Below are 20,694 nucleotides of genomic sequence, written 5' to 3'. Positions count from 1 at the left end.
ATGTTTTCTGCTGCTACTTTTTGTTTTGCATTTTCCTCTTAAAGAGACCAGAAGATGGCTGGGCTCAGTGGCTCATGCCTGTAATCCCAGCACTTTGGGAGGCCGAGGCAGGTGGATCACCTGAGGTCAGGAGTTTGAGACCAGCCTGGCCAATATGATGAAACCCTGTCTCTACCAAAAATACAAAAATTAGCCAGGCGTGGTGGCAGGCGCCTGTAATCCCAGCTACTCGGGAGGCTGAGGCAGGAGAACGGTTTGAACCCGGGAGGCCAAGGTTGCAGTAAGCCAAGATCACGCCATCACACTCCAGCCTGGGGGACAAGAGTGAGACTTCGTCTCCCAAAAAAAAAAAACCAAAAAGAGGGCAGAAGAGAAAAAATAGAAGGAGATATTGGACATCCTAGTCATACCCCATTTAGACTTTGCCTACAGAGGACAATGAAAGAAGGCAGCAACCTTTTCTCTGGGCCCTCCTTGTCTAAACCAAATGCAGATCTGGCAGCCCTATAGTATTGCAAGATCATATTCCTTGGCGTTCTTTGGAGCTAGAGCTGGTGGTGTTTCTCCTCGTGAATGCTGTGCTAACATCCACCTAAAGCGGAAAGAAGACAGTTCTTTAGGATAGCTAGGGCTGATTTGATGTGAGAAAAAGAAATGATGGTGTGACAAGGAATGCGTTTATGCAGCCTTTTCACAGAAAAAAAGTATAAATTATAATTAAATATTTTTAAACCTTCATTTTTAAAAAATTGCAAGAGTAATACAAGTTTATTGCAAATAATTTAGATAAGTAAATTATGCAAAACTAAAACAACAGCTCAGTGTGTTGTATAACTTTTATTGGGCTCTAATTTACCTATCATAAAATTAACCCATTTAAAGTGTACAATTAACTGGTTTTTAGTATATTTGATATTTGAGAGTAATGCAACCATTGCCATTACCTAATTTTAGGACATTTTTATCACCCCAGGAAGTAACATGTACCTCATTAGCAGTCATTCCCCATTTACCCCTCCTCCTAGCCCCTGGCTACTGCTAATCTACTTTCTCTATGAAATTGCCTATTCTGGACATTTTAGATAGCTGGAACCCTACAATATATGGCCTTTTGTGCCTGGCTTATTTCACTTATCATAGTATTTTTAAGATACATCCTTGTTTTGGCATGAATTTCATTCCTTTTTATGGCTGAATAATATTCCATTGAATAGGTATACTAGAGTTTGTTTGTCTATTCATCCATTGATAGACACTTGGGGTGTCTTCCACTTCTTGGTTGTTGTGAATAATGCTGTTGTGAATATTTGATATGGTTTGGATTTGTGTCCCCACCCAAATCTCATGTCAAATTGTGATCCCCAATGTTGGAGAAGGGGCCTAGTGGGTGGGAGGTGATTGGATCATAAGGGCAGACTTCCCTCTTGCTGTTGCTGTGATAGTGAGTTTCACGAGATCTGGTTGTTTAAAAGTGTGTAGCACTTCCACCCTCACTCTGTCTCTCCTGCTGCACCATGTGAAGATTGTGCCTGCTTCCCCTTTGCCGTCTGCCATGATGATAAGTTTCCTGAGGCCTCCCCCAGCCTGTGGAACAGTAAGCCAATTAAACCTCTTTTCTTTATAAATTACCCAGTCTCAGGTAGTTTTTTTTTTTTCAACGGAGTCTCACTCTATCACCAGCCTGTAATGCAGTGACGCGATCTCGGCTCACTGCAACCTCTGCCTCCTGGGTTCAAGTGATTCTCCTGCCTCAGCCTCCCAAGTAGCTGGGACTACAGGCACGCGCCACCATGCCTGGCTGATTTTTTTTTGTATTTTTAGTAGACACGGGGTTTCACCATGTTGGCCAGGATGGTCTTGATCTCTTGACCTCATGATCCACCTGCCTTGGCCTCCCAAAGTGTTGGGGTTACAGGTGTAAGCCACTGCACCTGGCCTCAGGTAGTTCTCTATAGCAATGAGAGAACAGACTAATGCAACATTCATGTACAAGTTTTTTGTATGAACACATGTTTTCAATTCACTAGGTATACACCTACAGTAGATTGCTAGGTTATATGGTAACTTTATGTGTAATGTTTTTGTTTTTGTTTTTGTTTTGGGATGGAGTCTCGCTCTGTTGCCCAGGCTGGAGTGCAGTGGTGTGATCTCGGTTCACTGCAGCCTCCACCTCCCGAGTTCAAGCGATTCTCCTGCCTCAAGCTCCAAAGTAGCTGGGCCTGTAGGTGCGCACCACAACGCCCGGCTAATTTTTTTTGTATTTTTAGTAGAGATGGGGTTTCATCATGTTGACCACACTGGCCTCAATCTCCTGACCTCGTGATCCGCCCTCTTCAGCCTCCCAAAGTGCTGGGATTACAGGCATGAGCCACTGTGCCTGGCCTACATGTAATATTTTGAGCAACTGCCTAAGTGTTCTCCAAAGTGGCTGCACCATATTCAGCTTTGTATGAGGTTTCAATTTCTTTACATCCTCATCAAACACTTGTTATTAGCCATGTTTGTTTGTTTGTTTGTTGTTTTTGTTTTTTTGAGACAGAGTCTCGCTCTATCGCCCAGGCTGGAGTGCAATGGCACAATCTCAGCTCACTGCAACCTCCACCTCCCAGGTTCAAGCTATTCTTCCGCCCCAGGCTCCCAAGTAGCTGGGATTACAGGCACCTGCCATCATGCCCAGCTAATTTTTGCATTTTTTGTAGAGACAGGGTTTCAACATGTTGGCCAGGCTGGTCTTGAACTCCCGACCTCAGGTGATCTGCCCACCTTGGCCTCCCAAAGTGCTGGGATTACAGGTGTGAGCCACCGCGCCCCGCCCTTAGCCATGTTTTTGATTATCGCTGTGCTAGTGAATGTGTCTCAGTGAGAAGCAGTACCTTATTGGGGCTCTATTTGCATAACTGGTTGTCTTTAAACAAGGATTAGATTATTCCACTCTTTGTGGGATTTACATATGATTTTGGAAGAAAGTGGGGGAAATGGAATCATATTTCAAGGGTTCTTTTACCTTTATGATTAGGACTGTCACAGCTCTAGTGTCTACATTGCCAGGCAATGCTATGAAGCACTCAGCTGATGAGGCCTTGGGAAGAAAGTATCAGAAGACTAATACTGGCAGTGAGTGGACACTCAGGCATGTCTGTTGACTGGGATTTGATGATGATTAAACTTAGGCAAGGTCGATTTTTATGTACCGGAAATGTTTGATTTTAGCATTTGGAAGACTTCTCAGCCCCTCATTACTTCTGCAACAAGAACTTAGCACCTTGTGCATGCCAGGCACTGTCTGTGTTTATTCACATGTTGAATAAGACATAATCCTATGGCCTCCAGAAAATTAGTATTAAGAAGGGTAGTCAAATATATAAAGAGATACAATTTAATGTGATATACTTCAGTGAGATACTACTACATAGTCACCAAAATGGCTAAAATTTAAAAACTGAAATGGGCCAGGCACATTGGCTTATGCCTGTAATCCCAGCACTTTGAGAGGCCAATGCGGGCAGATGGCCTGAGCTCAGGAGTTAAAGACCAGCTTGGGCAACATGGCGAAACCCCATCTCTACAAAAACTACAAAAATTACCTGGGCATGGTGGCACGTGCCTGTAGTCTCAGCTTCTTGGGGGGCTGAGGAGAGAGGATCTCTTGAGCCTGGGAGGTTAAGGCTGCAGTGAGCCATGTTCGTGCCACTGCACTCCAGCCAGGGTGACAAAGCAAGACCCTGTCCTAAAAGCAAAAGAAAACAAAACAAAAACAAAGCAAAACCTGAAATAAACAAGGAATGGCAAGAATGTAGCGCAACTGGAATTTCCATGCAGTGTGGATGGGAGTATAAATTGGCCCAGACAGCCGTGCGCGGTGGCTCACACCTGCAATCCTAGAACTTTGGGAGGCTGAGGCGAGTGGATTGCCTGAGCTCAGGAGTTTGAGACCAGCCTGGGCAACACGGCGTAACCCATCTCTACTAAAATACAAAAAATTAGCCGGGCATGGCGGCGTGCATCTGTAATCCCAGCTACTCGGGAGCCTGAGACAAGAGAATCACTTGAACCTGGGAGGTGGAGGTTGCAGTGAGCCAAGATCGTGCCACCGCACTCCAGCCTGGGTGACAGAGTGAGACTCTGTCTCAAAAAAATAAAAAATATATATAAATAAATAAATAGGCCCAGCCATCTTAGAACAGTGTTTGTCAGTATCTCCTAAAGCTGAGTATTCACATACCGTATAACTCAGAAATTCTGCTTTAGGCATATACTAATAGAAAAGCATAGATATGGTCATCAAGAGACATATACAAGCATGTTCATGGCAGCATTGTTCTTAGTAACCAAAAATGGAAACAACCCAAATTTCTATCAATAGTAGAAAAAGATAAATATATGGTATATTTATTTAATACATATAGCTGTGAAAATGAACAAACCACTGCTACTAGCAACAACATGGATAAATTCAACACACATAATGTTGAATCAAAGAAACTAGACACAAAAGTATGGAACAATAAAAACAAACTAATCTATGGTAAAAGAAATCGGAACAGTGATTACCTTTGTCATTAGGTAATGACTGGGATGTAGCACAAGAGAGGCTTTTGAGGTCCTGGCAATATTCTCTTTTTATTTTTTTATTTAATTATTTATTTTTGAGACAGGGTCTCACTCTGTCAGCCAGGCTGGAGTGCAGTGGTGCGATCATGGCTCACTGCAGCCTAGACCTCTCCGGGCTCAGGTGATCCTCCCACCTCAGCTTCCCAAGCAGCTGGGACCACAGGTGTGCGCCACCATGCCCTGCTAATTTTTGTTTGTTTGTTTATTTGTTTGGTTTTTGAAATGGAGTTTCACTCTTGTTGCCCAGGCTGGAGTGCAATGGCGCAATCTCGGCTCACTGCAACCTCTGCCTCCCGGGTTCAAGCGATTCTCCTGCGCCAGCCTCCCAAGTAGCTGGGATTACAGCCGCCACCACGCCAGGCTAATTTTTTGTATTTTTAGTAGATACAGGGTTTCACCATGTTGGCCAGGCTGGTCTCGAACTCCTGACTTCAGGTGGTCCACCCGCCTCAGCCTCCCAAAGCTCTGGGATTGCAGATGTGAGCCACCATGCCCAGCCTAATTTTTGTGTGTATATATATATATATGTTTTTTTTTTTTTTTGGTAGAGGTGAGGTTTCCCCACATTACCCAGACTAGTCTCTAACTCCTGGACTCAAGCTATCCACTCACCTCAGCCTCCCAAAGTGCCAGGATTACGGGTATGAGATATTATGCCTGGCCAATATTCTATCTCTTGTTCAGAGTGATAGTTACATAGCTGTGTTCACTTCGTAAAGTTCATTGAGCCATATGCCTACAGTTTGCACACTCCTGTAGGTATGTTATGCTTCAATATAAATGTCTACTTAAGATATTTTCTTTTTTATGGCAAAAATATGGGCAACCCAGAAGGCTGTACAAGAACAGAGGTGACACATAAGTGGAGTGGGTAACTCTTTATGGGTGGGAATCAGAAAAGGCTCTCTGGAAATGTTGCCAGAGCTGAATTTTGAAAGATTTTTTTTTTTTTTTGAGGCGAAGTTTCACTCTTGTTGCCCAGGCTGGAGTTCAATGGCATGATCTCGGCTCACTGCAACCTCCGCCTCCCGGGTTCAAGCGATTCTCCTGCCTCAGCCTCCCAAGTCGCTGGGATTACAGGCATGTGCCACCAAGCCCGGCTAATTTTTGTATTTTTAGTAGAGACAGGGTTTCTCCATGTTGGTCAGGCTGGTCTCGAATTCCCAACCTCAGGAGATCCGCCCACCTCGGACTCCCAAAGTGCTGGGATTACAGGTGTGAGCCACTGCACCTGGCGAAAGATAATTTTTACAAGAAACAAAAGTGGGTAAAAGAAAGAGGAAAGGCATTGCAGGCAGAGGGAACAGCATGCTCAATAGCACATGAAAGCATAAAATCATATCGTGTGGTTTAGGGATCCCAAGTGTTTCTATATTATGGGAGTATTAATTGGGGAGGGATGGCAGGGAGAGAGCTGCAGATAATAAGACTAGCCAGGTAAGCTATGACCAGGTCATGAAAACTCCTTTTATCCTAGTTACACCGCTTGAACTTGAACTATAGGTCTTAGCCTTCTTATGGAAATACATTCCCCTGAAGTTCTGATTAAAATTACAGACCATCTCATTGGAAAAATGCACATGTAAATTCCTACATATAATTCAGTTCTTCTGATGCTCATCTGTTGATTCCTGGTTCATAGATGTCAGATTTGTAATCCTATCTTTTCTTTTCTTTTTTTTTTTTTTTTTCAAACAGTCACGCTCTGTTGCTCAGGCTGGAGTGCAGTGGTGTGATCTTGGCTCACTGCAACCTTTGCCTTCCAGATTCATGAGATTCTCCTGCCTCAGCTTCCCGAGTAGCTGGGACTACAGGCACGTGCCACCACACCTGGCTAGTTTTTCATATTTTTAGTAGAGATGGGGTTTCACCGCGTTAGCCAGGATGGTCTCGAACTCCTGACCTCGTGATCCGCCCACCTAGGCCTCCCAAAGTGCTGGAATTACAGGCGTGAGCCACCGCGCCCAGCCTAGAATCCTATCTTTTCAATAGACAATTGGAATTAATTAAAAGAGATTTAAGAAGAACAGAGGCAGGATCAGATTTACATTTTAGAAATAATAATGGATTCAATATGGAGGTTAGATTAGAAGCTGAGTCAAGGTAACCTGTAGGAACTGATTAAAATGGTAAAAGAACGGATAAGACATTTAACTACGACAGTGTCCCAGCTTAATTCTAAGTATATTAATAGATCGAGTCACCAAGGATTGGTGGCTGATTAGATGTGAGAAGAAGGTGGCTTCTGGGATTCTCCTGTTTCCAACTTCAGATAGTGGTCAGGCCACCTACCAAAGATAGGAACTAGAGTGTTAGGGACATTTTGGTTAAAAATGAACTGAGGTGGGCCAGGCGCAGTGGATCACGTCTGTAATTCCAGCACTTTGGGAGGCCAAGGCGCACGGATCACAAGGTCAGGAGATCGAGACCATCCTGGCTAACACAGTGAAACCCCATCTCTACTAAAAATACAAAAAATTAGCCGGGCATGGTGGCAGGCGCCTGTAGTCCCAGCTACTCGGAAGGCTGAGGCAGGAGAATCACTTGAACCTGGGAGGCGGAGGTTACAGTGAGCAGAGATCGTGCCATTGTACTCCAGCCTGGGCTACAGAGCAAGACTCTGTCTCAAAAAAAAAAAAAAGGAACTGAGGCAAGATGCTTCTTGGAAAGAAGCAGACCACACCCTAAAGCCAAAGGTTTTAAGTGCATTCTGACTGGTGTTGCAGCCCACACTGCTGGCCTCCTGTGGAACTATATGTATTGAGCCTGGCAGATTGCTGGAGTAGACTTGGGCAGAAAAATCAATTTACATGCACTAAATCACAAAGCCATTAAGGCTTTGCCTTGGGGAATAAAAGCTGATTCTGACACCTACCAGCACTTCTTATCCCTGTGTATAAGCTAGAAGAGCTATGCAAGGGAAAAGACTGAACACCATGGCATTGAGCCACCATAGTTGAATGCAACACTTTGAAAGAAATATATATATATATATATATATATATATATATATATATATATATATATATTTTTTTTTTTTTCCTAGTTCTAGAATTGAAACACTGTTGGGCCCCTAGATAATCAAAATTCTTTCTTTCTTTGAATAAGGATTACCCTGGGCTATTTGGTAGACGTCTGTGCCTAGTCACAGCATATCATAAACCCAATGGATAAGGACTACATGAGGATGGAAGAACACATAGAATTGGGTATTTTACTGACAGTCACAGCAGGCAAAAAGAATATGAGCAAATTTCCCAGTTCCACTTATCAAGACAATCTGTACCTTTGGAATCTAAAGTTACCACACAAGGGAGACAAGTTGAAGGCTCCAAGTCATCTGATTTGAACATTGAAAGGAATGTGACCTCATTTTGAACCCCAGGAGAATGAAAAAGGATATATTGGTCTAATCAGATTTGCATTTTTAAAAGATAACTCTGGCTGCTTTACAAAAAAATAGATTGGAGAGAGGCAAATATGGATGCAAGAATACAAGAGGCCACCATAATCATAGGGGCGATGGTGGCTTGAGCAAAGTACTGGCAGGGCATATGGAGAGATTTTAATGGATTTAATATGCAATTACATATATTTTAGAGGTAGAATAAATAGAACGTGGTAATTGATTGAATATGAGAGGGCAGTAAGGGAGAGAGAGGAGTCACAGATGACTCTTAGCTTTCTAGATTCATACATCTGGTTGGATGGTTAGAACCATCGCGGTAGAAGGACCAGAAGGGCAGCTAAGAGATGGGAAGTTCAATTTTCTTTATTTATTTATTTATTTATTTATTTTGAGAAGGAGTTTCGCTCTTTTTGCCCAGACTGGAGTGCAATGGCGCCATCTTGGCTCACTGTAACCTTTGCCTCCTGGGGTTCAAGGGAGTCTCCCTCCTTCAGCCTCCTGAGTAGCTAGGATTACAGGCACTCACCACCACGCCTGGCTAATTTTTTGTAGTTTTAGTAGAGACAGGGTTTCACCATATATGCCAGGCTGGTCTCGAACTCCTGACCTCAGGTGATCCTACCTGCCTTGGCCTCCCAAAGTGCTGGGATTATAGGCGTGAGCCACCGCATCCGGCCAGGAAGTTCAATTTTATACATGTTAAGTTTGCAGGGGTTATGAGACAGCCAAATGAATGTGCTAAGCAGACATTTAAGTCCAGCCTGAGGTTCAGAGAAGTCTTGGATTCAATGTGGAATTCATTCACATATTGATAGTCATTGAAGCCATGATGTGAGAATAGTGAGATCTATTGAGATATCAAAGCGAAGAGGACTGAGGGCAATACCAACAATTTAAAGATTATATGGATGGGGAAAGTCAGTCTAGGAAACTGAGAAGTAGAGGGAAAAATATCAAGAGAGTATGGCATCACAGAAATCAAAGGAAGAGAGTATTTTAAAGAGTTGACTATGTTAAATGATTCTGAATAGTCAAGATGGAGACTGGAAAATTTGCTGAGTTTTGCCAGCGTGGGCTACACTAAAAATATTTAACAACTGATACGGCTTGAATACCAACCAATCAGAATGAACATTAGCCTGATATGGGACAGGATGAGGCGGGCCTGCGGTGGGTGGCATTAGCTCTTTAGTTGCTAGATGATGGGAAGCTATGGAGGAAGGTCTGAGGCAGTGACCAGAGAGGAGGTACTGAGGGGACTTGGGGTGGCAGTTCTTCTTAAAACTGGCGCAAAAGTATTTCAATAATTTAACAGGAAGTACAGGTATACTTGTGACATGACTGAATGTTTTCCCTGTTTTTAGCAGCAAGAGATCATTGGGAACCCTGGTGAGAGATCATTCAGTGGAATGGCAGGAACCAAAGCCAGGTTCAAGTAGTCTGGGGAGGTGATTAGAGAGTAGACAGAATGAATGTAGACAACTCTTCCAAGATGTTTGGCTTTGGGACGGACAGGGTGATGGCTGGAGGCAGAGGTAGGGGAAATTATTTATTTGTTTTAGTGTGTTGATGGAGACTTGAGCACGCATAAATGGTAAGCACAGACAGAGGGCTCAGCCACAGTTAGAAGGCGGGAACCCTCTTTAGTATGAATGGACCTGAAGAAAATAATTTACAGGCGTTTATAGGTATGGTGGTTGGAAATTGAAGGAATTCCTGCACAATAGATTCTTTTTTTTGCCCACTGTGAACTAAGAGGTAAAAGTTATTTCATGGGAATGAGAGGGTTATGTAAAGAATCAGAAGTTTCATAAAAGTAAGCAGGTAAGTGGGTCAGGGCCTGAGAATTTACATGACAAATTCCAAGGTAATGTTGGATGCTGCTGGTCCAGGTACTGCACCTTCAGAGAAAAGTACAAGGACAGCATGTGGTTAAAAGTATAGGGTTGGCTGGGCGTGGTGGCTCAGGCCTGTAATCCCAACACTTTGGGAGGCCAAGGCAGGCGTATCACCTGAGGTCGGGAGTTTGAGACCAGCCTAGACAACATGGTGAAACCCCATCTCTACTAAAAATACACAAATTAGCCAGGTGTGGTGGTGCATGCCCATAGTTCCAGGTACTCGGGAGGCTGAGGCAGGAGAATCGCATGAACCCAGGAGGCGAAGGTTACAATGAGCCGAGATCACTCCATTGCACTCCAGCCTGGGAGACAGGCAAAACTCCATCTCAAAAAAAAAAAAAAAAAAAAGTGTAGGGTTACCTCCCTAGCCCACACCTTCAGCTTCCAGCTCGACCACACCCAAGTTCTGTTCACTGTGTCTCAGCTCCATCCATGCCTCCCCCACAGGCTATTTCCTGCATAGTAGCTAGAGTGCTCTTTTCAAAGGAAAGTCAGACCATTTCAATCAGCTGATTAAAACTCTTCAGTGGCTTTCCACAGCTCATGGAAAGAAGTCCCAAGTGTAAAGTACAAGTCCTCGAGTTTGAAGGCCCAAGAACCAGGAGCTCTGATGTCCAAAGGCAGGAGAGATGGATGTCCTAGCTCAAAATGAGAGAGAATGGGCCGAGCATGGTGGCTCACGCCTGTAATCCTAGCACTTTGGGAGGCCAAGGCAGGCGGATCACCGGAGGTCGGGAGTTCGAGACCAACCTGACCAACATGGCAAAACCCTATCTCTACTAAAAGTACAAAATTAGCCAGGCGTGGTGGCACATGCTTGTAATCCCAGCTACTTGGGAGGCTGAGGCAGGAGAATGGCTTGAACCTGGGAAGCAGAGGTTGTGGTGAGCCGAGATCACGCCATTGCACTCCAGCCTGGGAAACAAGAGCAAAACTCTGTCCCAAAGGAAAAGAAAGAGAGAGAGAGAGAGAGAGAGAGAGTGAATAATTTGCTCTTCCTCCTCCTTTAAAAATTTTTTTTCACATAGAAATGGGGTCTTGCTATGTTGTCCAGCCTGGTCTCAAATTTCTGGCCTCAAGCAATCCTCCCACCTTGGCCTCCCAAAGTGCTGGGATTACAGGTGTAAGCCACTACATCCAGCACTTCCTCCACCTTGTTTTTCTATTTGGGCCCTCAAGAGATTGACTGATGCTCATCCACATTGGTGAGGGCTGATCTTCTTTACTCAGTCTCTGATTCAAATGCTAATCTCCTCTGGGAACATCCTCACAGACACACCCAGAAATAATGTTTTATCAACTATCTGGGCATCCCTTAGCCCAGTCAAGTTAACATATAAAATTAACCATCACGGGGCATAAGCCTCAAAGGAGTAGGAGTTTTTACAAGAGAGTAGAGAAGAAGTAATGATCTAGAAATAGTGATGAGAAGAAAGGAGGACAAGAACCTGTCCTGTAGTGGATAGTTGTGAGCACAGATTTAGTATCACAGAAGGCTGCTACAGAAGAGAACAGGCTTTAAGTCTGGGCATGGTGGCTAATGCCTGTAATCCCAACACTTTGGGAGGCCAAAGTGGGCAGATCAGTTGTGTTTAGGAGTTTGGGACCAGCCTGGGAAACATAGCAAGTCCTCATCTCTACTAAAAAAGTTTTAAAAATTAGCCGAGCATGGTGGTGCATGCCTGTAGTTCCAGCTACTTAGAAGGCTGAGGTGGGAGGATTGCTTGAGCCTAGAAGATTGAGGCTGCAGTGAGCCATGATCGAGCCACTGTACTCCAGCCTGAGTGATAGAGGGAGACCCTATCTAAGAAGAGAGAGAGATCAGGTTTTAATTAATGGAATGAAGTATGGAGAACGTTCCCAGAAGAGACGTGTAAGACACAGAGAAATTTGTTGATCACAGAGCAGGTGCTTCAGAGGCTACACTGGAGAGCTGGGAGTGGGCAGGTACATTCCAACAGTGGGGAACTGAGTCAGGAACAAGGAAATATGGAGTACTATGGGGATGATGGTGTAGTTGCAGTCATTCTCAAACTTTAATATGTATCAGAATCACAAAGAGGGCTTGTGAAAACACGGAGCACTAGGCCCCAGCCCCAGAATTTCTGATTGAGTAGATTTGGGGCTGGCCTGAGAACATGCATTACAGGTTCTCAAGTGAAATGGATGCTGCTGGTCCAAGGGCCACACTTTCAGACCACTGATGTAATGGAAGACCAGTGACAAATGTGGCAGCAGAAACAGTGATGAAAGGCCAGAGTGGATCACTCTTAGCCATCTCCTAAAGGATGTCAGGATCTAGCCTAATGGACAGAGGGCTTGGCTCCACTCATTGCAGGTGGTAGCAGCTTGACATCTGTGGCCTCAGTCCATTAAGTTGAGGCAATATTGAGGGTTTGGTCTTAATTTCAATAGTGTCAGCTTAGTCCCAGATAATATACCATGGGCTCCAGAAATCTGCTGCTATGGAGTAACTGTGACACATCCGCTTCAGGGGCCTAACACAAAGCAATGGTATCTTGTGAATTGGAGGATATTTATACTGAGTCCAGTGGAATCAGAGACCAGATTAAAGCTGCATCCTGGTAGGATTGTTGGTGCTTGGATTTTGAAGTCTCAGCAGTGATATAATCAGATGTCTGGCTCCGCCGACAAGCAGCAGTGGTGCTTGAAGCAGTCAAGGGCTGCCAGGTAATAGACAACTTGATCAGAACCCAGAGCTGCCAATAACTCTTAGGTCTTGGACTTCACATGCTGGCTCATAAAAATGAAGTCACAACTATGCCAGTACACCTCATCTTGATGCTCAAAGGCCTTACTGGATTGACTAGCAGGGATTCCAATCATTTCCAGTGTTTTCTCTGAAAGTATTTGGAAAGGGGTTGTAGAACTGAAAATTGGGATGCTCTTACAAGAATAATCTCATTGATACTTGGCTTGAATTCTGGGAAAGCTCCAAACCCTGACTTACTTGATTTGAAGGTGGTATGTTATCACTCAGGTTTCTCTCTTTCCTAACATTTGTGAAATTCCCAGGGAAAATTATACGTGCCCATAAATCACTCGTGGCCATTGTTTGCTGCTAGCCTGCTAGTAGAGGGACAAGTCATGTGTGCCCTTTCAGGAACAAACACAAATGGGAGTCACGATCATGCTGGAGGTTCAATCCTAACAGAATGTTAGAACTGCAGTAGGGAAAGGGGTGGCATTTGGAGTCAGAGAGCAGCCAACTCTCTGAGGACTGCAGGTGGAATCTTCCTCTGGCACCAATGTCCTAGAGGGGTACAAAGAACTCTACAAGGTCTTCTGAGGAGGCTAATGAGCCAAAGTTGATACTAACTTAACCTGTTAGTCCTCATGAAGAGAGTACAACTTGGGATAATTCTCCCTGCACTCATTTTGTGCGCACATTAATTAAAAAAAAATAGATACATGGTCTTGCCATGTTGCCCAGGCTGGTCTTGAATTCCTGGGCTCAGGCAGTCCTCCTGCCTTGGCTTCCCAAAGTACTGGGATTACAGGCATGAGTCACTGTACCCAGCCCTGCATGTTAAATTTTTTTTAAAAAGAAAAGAACAGGCTGGATGCAGTAGCTCATGCCTGTAATCCCAGTACTTTGGGAGGCCGAGTTGGGTGGATCACCTCAGGTCAGGAGTTCGAGACCAGCCTGGCCAACATGGTGAAACCCCATCTCTACTAAAAATACAAAAAATTAGCCTGGCGTGGTGGCAGGCGCCTGTAACCTCAGCTGGGCGGGAGGCTGAGGCAGGAGAATTGCTTGAACCCAGGGGGTGGAGGTTGCAGTGAGCCAAGATGGTGCCATTGCACTTCAGCCTGGGTGACAGAGCAAGACTCTGTCAAAAAAAGAAAAAAAAAAAGGGAAAAGAACAAAACCAACTTAACCAACTTCACTTCTGTTACTTCTCAAGATAAGACTAGATTTTTATTGCCCCCCCCCCTTTAATTGGCTATGGAAAAACAGTGGGGCCACTCAGAAATACCTGTGTGTAACCTTGCTCGGGGCTAGTGCAGGGCAAGTCCTTACAGAGCCAGGGACTTACCAGGACATAAAATATCTGCCTCATGAGTCTTAGAAGGTCTAAAAGTATAGTACTATGTGCCCTCTGGGCATGCATGCTCAAGTTAACTGGAAATTAGGGCAAGTAAGCAGAGCTTGGCAACAGAATTTGAATATACTCCCAGAGGTTCTCCATTGTGGAGTTTAGGGAATTAGGCATCCATTCATTTAAATAAATATTTATGGGCACAATCAGAATCACCAGGAGCAGTTTTTTTCCCCTAAAATACACATGTCTTTATAAGCTTGCTTTGCACAGTCCTTCAGAGGCTATTTATTTCTTCCCACACACTATGCCTGAAATTTAAGTAATATAAAAAAGATGAATGATGGTACCCATGTAGGATTACATGTCAAAATGGATTGTTATTCTTAAGTCTTAGGTAACTACTCTGATAAAACGTCCTCAATAGATTCTCTGCAGAAATCATTAATAAAGCAATTGCTAATTGTAGAGAAAAAAAGAAATAAACCCAATAAGGTCAAGTACTTTCTTATAATAATTATGGCCACCATTTACTGACCACCTACTCTGTGCCAAGAACACATCTTGTATGTTTTCTTTTCTATTCTATTCTTTTTTTTTTTTTGACAGAGTCTCACTCTGTCACCCAGGTTGGAGTACAGTGACGCGATCTTGGCTCACTGCAGCCTCTACCTCCTGGGCCCAAGCAGTCCTCCCACCTCAGCCACCTAAGTAGCTGGGACCACAGGCGTGCCACCATGCCCGGCTAATTTTTTGTGTTTTTTGTAGAGACGGGGTCTTGCCATGTTGCCTAGGCTGAGCTTGAACTTCTGAACTCAAGTGATTCACCTGCCCTGGTCTCCCAAAGTGCTGGGATTACAGGTGTGAGCCACCATGCCTGGCTTATATGTTTTTATTTAATCTCTACAATGACCCAGTGAGGCGGGTTACTCTCTCCATTTTACCAAAAAGAGAACATGGAGACTTGGAGAGTTTACATGTTCAGCTTAGTTTACATGATCTAGAGCTACAGTTTAGATCAGAGTAAACTGAGGCTTTGTCTGATGTTGGGCCTAAAATTTAGAGGGACAAGAAAACAATTATTTTAAAATGCTACATTTTAAAGTGGCTTCTTCCTTTAGGAAAGAGTTTCCACCTTTATATCCCTACCTCTGGCTTTGGTGGCAAGCTTTCCTGTATACTGGGACACCGCCCTTTGGCAACCTACCGAGATCTGACTATGTGAGAACCCTCACTGCCTTTCCATTTCTGCTTTAAGATAAATGTTATGCTCTTTGTCATGGTGCTGGATTTGAGCCCAGCTGAATGTTTTTTGTTTTTTGTTTTTTTTTTCTTTTTTGAGACGGAGTCTAGCTCTGTCACCCAGGCTGTAGTGCAGTGGCATGATCTCAGTTCACTGCAACCTCCACCTCCCGGGTTCAAGTGATTCTCCTGTCTCAGCCTCCCAAGTAGCTGGGATTACAGGTGCCCACCACCACGCCCAGCTAATTTTTGTACTTTTAGTAGAGATGGGGTTTCACTGTGTTGGCCAGGCTGGTCTCGAACTCCTGACCTCATGATCTGCCCGCCTCGGCCTCCCAAAGTGCTGGGATTACAAGTGTGAGCCACCGCCCCCGGCCCTGAATGTTGGTCTTTAAAGACCAAGGAAACTATCTTTTCCTCCTGTTCCTTTTCTTCCTCTTCCCCCTCCTTTTTAAAAATTAAACTTCTGCTACTTATAGAAAACAAATCTCATCTAACATAGAAACTTCACTTAGAGCCAAAAGCCTTCTAGAACTTGGGGCCTTAACACAGCTTGGCTTTCAAAGCTTTGGAGCTGGAAGCCAGACTGAAGTGCCTGAGCCTGGAGTTTGCTACATCTGCTCTTGGATGCTGCCAGCTCACTCAGTTGAAATCTGAGTTCTGTAAAGAGAAGTTTCTGCTCAACAATGTCACCCTGGCACTCGGCCTCTATGCCTGCTGAAACTCTGGCAGGCTACAGCCTGGACTAGGGCTGTTGGTCATTTCCTCAAGGTGCTCTAAGCCAAGATCACCCTGCATTCCCTCTGCATAGCTCCTCAGTGTCAACTCTTGAAGCCTCCCTTCAAGGGCATTGAGGCACGACCCAGAACCTTCAGTTTCCTTAGCATGAGGCAGAAGTGAACCCACTGGTTCAGGATCTTCAGGCTCTTCCTATCGTCATGGGGAGTTTTTCTGTTTTTTTTTTTTTTTTTTTTTTTTGGTCTTTCCTATCATAAGTGCTTTGTAAGGGTCACCCAAGTCCACCCTGGCAGGTTCCATTAACTTTCAGTTTCAGACTACGAAGGTGAAAAACTTGATCTTTTCCAGAAGATTTCAACTCCAGGAAGGTATATTGAGATGACGTAAGGCCAACGGTGCTGGTGAATGTTTAACAACCAGCTCTCTGGGGGAAAGGTGTGTGCACGTGTGTGATATTGTGAAATATGCATTTGGTCGTCTTCCCTATTTTCTGGCACAGAACTCCCAAGACCTTTGTAAATAGGGGTGCTAGGAGAGTCTTTTGTTCTGCTATTTGGTCTTTGACCCCAGTTCCTGACACAGAGCTCCTAAGACATTTGCTATTTCCTGAATAGTAGCAGCATCTTTCATTCGAATGAGGTGACTCTCAGTGGGGCTCCTGGATAGCCTTGGGATGGGGGCTGGTTGCCAGGGGAACCAATCATGTAATTAGAGGACTAAAATCTTCAGGCCCACTCCCTGATCTCTGGGGAGAGGAGAGGAGAGGAGCTGAAGATTGAGCAGATCACCATTAGCAAGGCTTTAACCAGTCGTATTTACGAAATGAAGCCTCCATAAAAATCCAAAAGGACTGGTTTTGGAAAGCTACCAGGTTGGCAAACACATCTGTGTGCCAGGAGAATGGTGCACTGACCCTCCATGGGGACGGAAGCCCTTGAGCTTGGGACCCCGCCAGACCTCACTCTATGTGTCTCTCATCTGGCTGTTCACCTGTCTCCTTTATTATATTATTTGTTAATAAACATAAGTAAAGTGTTTCCCTGAGTTCTGTGAGTGGCTCTAGCAAATTAATTGAACCTGAGGAGGGGTCTGTGGGAACTCTAATGTATATAGCTGGTCAGTCACAAGCACAGTCACACTCTGTGATTGCGACTGGCAGCTGAAGTAGGGGGCAGTCTTGTGGGACGGAGCCCTCAACCTATGGGATCTGATGCTAACTCTAGGTAGACGGTGTCAGAAGTGAATTGAATTAGAGGACACCCATCTAGTGCCTGTTAGAAGATCTGCCAGGGAATTGCTTGGTGTGTGAGGAAAAAAACCCCACACATCTGGTGTCAGAAATGTTGAATGACTGTATGAAAGTAGAGAGTAGGAAAAACAGTTTGTTTTTACATGTGTATATATGTATCTATATATCTATATATATAATGTATATATGTGTATATATATCTATATATCTATACATATATATCTATATATCTATACATATATCTATATATCTATACATGTATAGATATACATGTATAGATATACATATCTATACATGTATAGATATACATGTATAGATATACATATCTATACATATCTATACATGTATATACATATCTATACATGTATATACATATCTATACATAGATATACACGTATACGTATATATCTATACATATACGTATACACACATACATACATGTATACATGTACATACATACATGTATACATGTACATACATATATACATACACACGTATATATGTACATACATGTATATATGTGTATATATACATCTATATATCTATATATCTATATATACATATATACATGTATATATGTGTATATATACATCTATATATCTATATATAGATGTATATATACATATATATGTATATACGTATATATCTATACATATATACGTGTATATACGTATATATACGTCTATATACGTCTATATACGTGTATATACGTGTATACACGTATATATGTATAGATATATACGTATATACATATATACATATATATACGTATACGTATACGTATATATCTATACGTATATACACATGTATATATAGATATATACATGTGTATATATACACATATATATATAGATATATACATGTGTATATATACACATATATACATGTATATACGTATATATAGATATATAGATATATAGATGTATATATACACATATATACATGTATATATGTATATATACATATATAGATGTATATATACACATATATACATGTATATATGTGTATATATACATATATGTACATATATACGTGTGTATGTATATATGTATGTACATGTATACGTGTATGTATGTACATGTATACATGTATGTATACATGTACATATATACTTGTATGTATATATATCTATATATAGATATATATTGATATATAGATATATATACATGATATTTAGCTTGCATTTTAATGTAATGAATAATACACAACTTACAAATAAGATATATAATACTTTTTATTTTGTTTTTTATTTGTTTTGCTTGTTTGTTTTTTTGAGACAGAGTCTTACTCTGTCCCCCAAGCTGGTGTGCAATGGCACAATCTCGGCTCACTGCAACCTCTGCCTCCCAGGTTCAAGTGATTCTCGTGCCTCAGGCTCCTAAGTAGCTGGGATTATAGGTGCACGCCACCATGCCCAGCTAATTTGTTGTACTTTTAGTAGAGATGGGGTTTCACCATGTTGGCCAGGCTGGTCTCAAACTCCTGACCTCAAGTGATCCCCCCGCCTAGGCATCCCAAAGTACTGGGATTACAGGCGTGAGCCACTGCACCCATCCAATATTTTTTGTTTTGAATTATATATATAGCCAATTGATTATCACAAAATGCTTTTATTGATTTTTGCCTCTTATGTCCATGGCCAACCCATGGTTGTAACTGACAAACAAGAGTAGTTCTGGCGTGAATGTTGGTTAATGTTTTCCTTACCACTAATCAGTGAGAAGAAAATGAACCAATAATGATGTCAGAACTTCACTTGTTTATCAATACATGAATGACTTCTTTACTGAGTGAGATAATATATTTTGAATATTGGAAGAACATTTCTTCAATTTTATGTGCTGTTCACAATGTAATGGTTATAGACACTACACTCTTTTAAGTTTAAACTACATTATTTACATTTTCTACATCACTTTCTTAAGAATAGACAGTAAATCAAACCCTGATTGGTAGTGTTTGCTGATTTCCCTGGTGTAAATATACTCCCACCACAGCCAATTGTAAGCTAACAACGAGATGTCACTGAATGAACAGTTGGGAAGAAATGTGCCATAGAACACTATTATGAAGTTTTGTACTGTGACAGATAAAATAGGTGTAAAAACCTCAAGAACATAGGTACTAGCAGAATGTATTTAATAGTAAAATAATTAGAAAGCAATGCATTTTGAATATATGTGATCTTTGTTTTAAATATAACTTATTTAATGGCAAGTTTACATAATGTAATTTTTAATAACTTCTAGTTAACAATTGGCTTGCAAATTTCCTAAAAATTTAACAATTGATCCTAACAAGCCAGTACAAATTGGCCTCTTCAACACCACTGGGTAAATCAAACCAAAGGCAATACATTCAGTTTAGTGTTATTCTCAGTCATGGGGATCATATACATATTTCCTGTTTCAAGTATCTGTGATGGCCATTAGTGCTATTCCTATGAAGTATTTCTAGTTCTCCACCTTATGAATAGAGAAATATGATAAGAGTATACTTTCCTGATTCTTTGGAGTTAGTAGTGGCCAAGAAGACTTGTTTTAGCCAAGGAAATGTGAGCAGAAATAGCATATGTCACTTTAGGGTGAGAGCTGAAGAACTACGGTTTGCTTTGGCACTCTCTCTCTTCCTCTACCACAGTGCCAGCAGTGCTCCATTTAGCGTCTTCTCCATTGGTGTGGGCCCCAGAGCGAGCAGGGCCTGAAGCAGACCCCCTCAGCTAACCCAAAGTGAATAGGTAGTAGGAGTGATAAATCAAATTATTGTTTTCAGTCACTGAGATTTTTGGAATTGTTTTTTTTTTTTTTTTTTTTTGAGACGAAGTCTCTCTTGTCCCCAGGCTGGAGTACGATGGTGCAATCTCGGCTCACTGCAACCTCCACCTCCTGGGTTCAAGCGATTCTCCTGCCTCAGCCTCCTGAGTAGCTGGGATTACAGGCACCTGCCACCACACCCAGCTAATTTTTGTATTTTTAGCAGAGACGGGGTTTCACCATGTTGACCAGGCCGGTCTCTAACTCCTGACCTCAGGTGATCCGCCCACCGCGGCCTCCCAAAGTGTTGGGATTACAGGCATGAGCCACCGTGCCTGGCTAGAATTGTTCGTTACTGCAGCATGACCTCAGAGCATCCTGGCTGATACGGTACCTAATATTTAAGAGAACTGGCATATTAGAGAGTCTCACAAATTAGCTTGTTTTACCTGAAATATGCAATTTATTTTAGACTAATTTTAAGCTGCAGGATGTAAAATAGTTTTTAACAGAATTAAACTCTTTACAAGAGAAGCTGATTTACCACATTAATGGATTTGATTTGTTACATATATAAGAACTACTTAAGTGCTTAAAAAGATTTTACAAGTATGAGTTGTAAGTCTGTCCTGTAAATTACTTGAAGTGCTTGCTGATGGGAGGTATTATGCAAAGTTATTTCAAAATATTTAAATGGATTTAATTACTACATTTGTAAACGGTACTA

This window comes from Homo sapiens, chromosome 11 (assembly GCF_000001405.40).
Source record: "Homo sapiens chromosome 11, GRCh38.p14 Primary Assembly".
NCBI classification, from domain to species: domain Eukaryota; kingdom Metazoa; phylum Chordata; class Mammalia; order Primates; family Hominidae; genus Homo; species Homo sapiens.
This window is presented reverse-complemented; position numbering follows the sequence as displayed.